The sequence below is a fragment of the Homo sapiens genome, chromosome 15, assembly GCF_000001405.40.
Source record: "Homo sapiens chromosome 15, GRCh38.p14 Primary Assembly".
NCBI lineage: Eukaryota > Metazoa > Chordata > Mammalia > Primates > Hominidae > Homo > Homo sapiens.
Window position 1 is genome coordinate 92,567,223 of NC_000015.10, and position 5,373 is coordinate 92,572,595.

General features: G+C 47.0%; 1 long non-coding RNA gene across 1 annotated transcript; it reads right to left on the reverse strand.

The window, feature by feature from the left end:
• Positions 1-595: 595 nt before the first annotated feature.
• On the reverse strand, positions 596-5,041 carry LINC00930 (long intergenic non-protein coding RNA 930). Its single transcript, NR_021493.1, has 4 exons — positions 3,964-5,041; positions 3,336-3,474; positions 2,981-3,051; positions 596-1,069 (listed from the first exon to the last, which is right to left on the reverse strand). It is a non-coding gene; the product is annotated as a long intergenic non-protein coding RNA 930 (long non-coding RNA).
• Positions 5,042-5,373: the final 332 nt, after the last annotated feature.

Consider the following 5,373-nt stretch of genomic DNA (forward strand, 5'->3'; position numbering starts at 1 on the left):
AGGTTCTAGTCAGTCTAGGGAGGCTGTGCACTGACTGACGGGTTTTGTGTCCACTGCTTCATCTTTTGAAGTCAGAGACCCAAAAACTGCCCCCTCACATCTTGCTAATACTACCATTTTTTTAACATGCGAACCCATGAAGGGGCTGGGAGGTCAACTGCACATGTGTTTCTTCTTTCGTAAATATTCATGGCTCCTCCTATAACTTGCTGAATATATATTTGGCCACCTCATTCAGCACAAATCCTTGTTTTATTCTTCTGACACTCCAAGTGCCTGTTTCTGGCTTCTGGCCAGAGGCTATGCTTCGCAGACACTCGGAATGGCCACCCTGCAGGCTGCAACCATTTATAAGAAATACAGCTCTCCTTTCCACATTTATGAACCTCATCATCCTTTGGTTGACAGTTTCAAAGTTTCCCTCATCTTCCTGTCTTCTTCTAAGCCCTCCACATTCTTCCAATATCTGCCAATTTACTCATTTCCAAAGCTGCTTCCACATATTCAGCTATCTTTATAGCAAAGCCCCACTCCTCAGTACCAATTTTCTGTTTGTCCATTTTGCATTGTTACAAATGAATACTTGAGGCTGGGTAATTTACAAAGAAAACAGGTTTATTGGCTCATGGTATGGCAGGCTGTGCAGGAAGCATAGTGTCGGCATCTGCTTTAGGTGGAGGCTTCAAGAAGCTTCCACTCATGATGGATGGCAAAGGGGAGCAGGTATATCACACAGTGAGAAGGGGGAGCAAGAGAGAAAGTTGGGGAGACGCCAGGCTCTTTAAAAAACCAGCTCTCCAGTGAACTAGTAGAGTGAGAGCTCATTCATTCCTGGTGAGCAGGGCACAAAGCCATTCTTGAGGGGTCCCCCGTCATGACCCAAACTCCTCCCATTAGACCCCATCCCCAAAATGGGGGATCAAATTCTCACATGAGATTTGGAGGGGACAAATGTCCCAACCATATTGGGAGCATCTCAGCTCCAAATAATACCAGACTACTAGAGGGAGGAACACTGTGGGGTCTTCATGCTAGCTGCTTTCCATTGACATTTTCCTGGCCTCCAGACCTAGAAACAACCAAAAATAACTTGGTGAATGTACTGAAGTTATTTATCAAACATTTACTGAGACCACAACATTGTAAAAAAGACAGGGCTTAACACTAGGTGTAGGTTAATGATACTGGAAGATTTTGTTTCAATGTACTATATTTCTAACATCTTTCCAGAATCGTCTGTCCCAAAACAGAAACCATCTTGTTTCCTAGGCATGCTATCAGAACGAGAAAATAACTAAATTTTTCTTCAAAAAATAATTGCAAAATCCACATTGATGTAATACATTTTTAAGAAGTGAAGTAAGAGATAAAAATAGCTAATATTTGAGGCCAACCACTGTTCAGTATATTGTACATCTATTAACTCATTCAATCTTCACAATAACCTGATGAGGAAGACAGTATTTCTATCCCCATTTTGCATATGAGGGAAGTAAGGGACAGAAGAGCTAAGGAGCTTGCCCAAGTCACACTTAAGAGGCAAAATAGAGACCCCCTCACCCCAGAAGCAGGCCTCCATGGTCTACGCCCTTAAACATTGACATCTCCTGCCCTTCACACATACCTCTGTTAATCAAAAGAATAGGTCCAACAATGACGACTTCACTTCCTAAGTGAGTCCATAGGTTTAAGGTAGTAACAGGCTACATTATAGACCTTAACAAATCATATTCAAATTCTTCTAGAGTAATAGTCAATTCGATATATCATATAACTTTAAAATAATGATGGGCCAGGCATGGTGGCTCGCGCCTGTAGTCCCAGCACTTTGGGAGCCCAAGGCGGGAGGAGCCCTTAAGCCCAGGAGTTTGAGACCAGCTCTGGCAACGTAGTGAAACCATCTCTTTACTTTTTTTTTTTTAATTAGCCAAGCATAGAGGCCCATGCCTAGCTACTCGGGAGGCTGAAGCAGGAGAATCACTTGAGCCCAGGAGTTTGAGGCTGCAGTGAGTTATGATCACACCACTGCACTCCAGCCTGGGCGACAGAGCCAGACCTTGTCTCCAGAAAAAAAAAAAAAAAGATGTCACACCACATTTTCAAACACAAACACATTACCTAGCAGTCATTATCAAAAGCCTGTGCTAACTGGATTAAAATCAGAAACCTAACTGGTGGTTTAGGACAGAAACCTAGAAACTGTGCTATGGACTGAATGTTTGTGCCTTCCCAGAATTCATACACTGAAGCTTAGTCTCTAATGTTATGGTATTAGGATGTGGGGCCTTTGGGAGGTGATTAGGTCGCGAAGGTAGAGCCCTCATGAATGGGATTAGTGCCATTTTATAAGGGATCCCAGAGAGCTCCCTCACCCTTTCCCCATTATGTGAGGATACAAGAAGTTAGCAGTCTGCAAACTGTGAGAGCCCTCACCAGAACCCGATCATGCAGGCACCCTGATCTCAGACTCACAGCCTCTAGAACTAGGAGAAAGAAATTTCTGTTGATTTTAAGCTACCTGATCTATGGTATTTGTTGTAGCAGCTTCAGTTGACTAAGACAAATGGATTCAATTTTGTCTTAAGTTCTTGGTTTCCGGTAAACCAGAAGTAACTTGATAATGCAGTGCTGACTGCTGGGATTTTTCAGCCAGGTCCTCTCCAGCTCCCAGAAATGCTGGACTGACTATGTATTTTTAGGGACTCTCCTTGCTCCAGAGCCTGAAGTACTTTCTATTTTCGTGGTCTAGTCTTCATTCCTCTCACAATAACACAGAGAGGTCGCCAGGGTCTCTCTAAGAAGCACAAACCTGGCCTAGTACAGATGAGCTCATCAGTCACTCAGGGGCCTCTTCTTCCCCAGACTCCCCAGGAATCATAAGCTTCTAGGATGGGCTCCCCAGAGCACTTCCCTTCTTATTTACCAGGAAGAAGGTCTTAGAGGCTGCTTCCCCATTCTTCTTTCAGGCCAAAAGCCTTACCTCTTGCCTCTGCTTCCATTTCTGCTAGGTTCTCTTATTCCATTCTGTACATGTCAGAAGCCGTCAGGAGCCTCAAGAGAAGAAGAAAGAGCCATGGTGAGTCGTTTTACATTTTCCAAATGAACAATGAATTCCTAAAAGAAAACCTCAACTTGCAGCCTTCCTGCCCCCAGGAACTCCTAGCAGAAGAGCCCAGGTCCCAACAAAATGCATGGCAGCTGCTGCCCAGCCTCTGAGAGAATTAAGAGGCATTAGAGCCCCACGTGGCCGCAGAACAACATCTTATCCAGCCATTCAACAGCCAGCAGGCTCCCCTTTTCATGATGCCCTTTCCGCTGTGCCCTAGGGGGCTCACCTCTTGCAGCCTTGACAGTGCAGTTCTTGCCAGGTCCCAGCAGGAACGAACTGGAAACCTCCTGGGTTTCCAGCAGCTGCTGTGCTTCTGAACTGACTCTTCCTTGGGGGTGGCAGGCGCACTGCCTCCTTGTCTACCGCTGTGGGTTTAGACAAAGTGCATTAGGCTTCTCTTCTCCCCCGGGCCAGCAGGGTTTTAGCCCTACCCACTTAGGGGTCATTTCCACAAAATAAATATCCCCCCGGCTGATAAATCCCCCCATTCTTCCTTGATACGGGGTCTCTCCGGAAACACAACAGCCTAGGTTTCTTCCTCTTTCCCACCCAACCTGCTCACTCACTTCCATCTCACACTGCCACCCCCACCCCCAGCACAGCCACCAGAACCACCAGTCCTCAGCTTCAACTGAGCCCCTGGGCTACTTCAGCATGTTCTCCTCACATCTGTACTCACATATATCTTCCTACAAGTTCCCTCGCCCTTTCACGGGCTGAAGCTCTGACTCTCTCAGAGAACATTAGCTATTGGTCAGGAATATTGTGCAAAAGACTTCACTTAATTGGAAAAGTATTCATTCTTGGTGGTCCCCAATGCCCCCAGGCCCTCAGCCATAGGATGTGGCTCTCACCTGGACAGTAGACACCTTGCTTCAATTTTCACTCTTCGCCCCTGGAAACCGTCGGCTGTTGGGGGTGAAAGGAAACTCCATAGTACTATACTGAGGTGACGTTTCCACCACCAACCATCTGCTTGGGCCCCTCTTAATTCTCCACCGGAGACTGGGGCTGCCTTCCTCAGGGATCCCAGCTATCTCTCAACACCTCGTCTTCCTCCAAGACTGGAGTCTTCGTGGAGTTCTGAGGAATTCACTTTCCAAGCAAGAAGGTTTTGGGTCCTCATGTCATCTTCCTCCAAGACTGGAGTCTTTGTGGAGTTTTGAGGAATTCACTTTCCAAGCAAGAAGGTTTTGGGTCCTCATGTCATCTTTCTCCAAGACTGGCATCATCTCGGAATTCTCAGGAATTCACTTTCCAAGCAAGAAGGTTTTGGGTCCTCATGTCATCTTCCTCCAAGACTGGCATCATCTCGGAATTCTGAGGAATTCACTTTCCAAGCAAGAAGGTCTTGGGTCCTTGTGTCTGGGGGACTCAATGCCCCCAGGAATCCTCCCTCCTCATCATGGGTTGCTCGTTGCAAGTGAAAGTCTCGTGCAGTAGGTTCCCTGTGCCTTCTTCTCTGGCCCTGACTTTGACAGGAGACCTCTTCTGGTGCCTTCTGGACCACCTGCTGCCTTACATCTGGGCTCCATACCAGAATCACCAGCATCCACTCAGAGGACACTGGGCAGCTATAACACTTGTTTTTTGCCGGGGCCAGTCCTAGTCCAATAGGGTTTCCAGGCACCCACAACAGCTGCCCAGGCAGCAAATGTCAGTCAGTTGTAAACCAGCCGGGTAAGACTCACACTTTGGCTTCCCTACATGGACTTCGTTTTGGGAGAAATTCCAGGATTTCAGACTCTCAGGGCCCATGGTCACTGAGCTCAATGTCCCCAATAGGTCACACCCTGCAGCTGCACCTCTAAGAGCTTGTGCTTCTGCCAAAACAATAAGCTTCTACTAGATGGGTCAGATCCGTTCTCTGACTTGATGCAATGGCCACTGTCCCTTCAGTCTGGCCCCTCAGCATCTGAGTCAGTGGGAATGTGATGGGCCCCATATGTAGAAGGAAGAACTGAAAGGAAGCACAGGAAGAACAGGAAGGAAGCAAAAGAAGGAAGGAAAGGAAGCCACCAGCTTCCTGCTGAGTCTTGATTAGGGCTCCTGGACAGATATTCTCCTCCTCCTGTTGCAAAAACTGTTGGAATTAACATAAAGCCTCTGAGCCCAAGCTTCCTCAAGTGTACAATGAGGATACTGGAGTCCGGAATCTCTGAGTGCTTCTCTGTGATGGACAGAACAATGCCCCGACAAAGATGCTCATGCCCTCCTCCCCAGAACCTGTGAATATGTCACGGTGCATGGCAAGGGGGGAATTA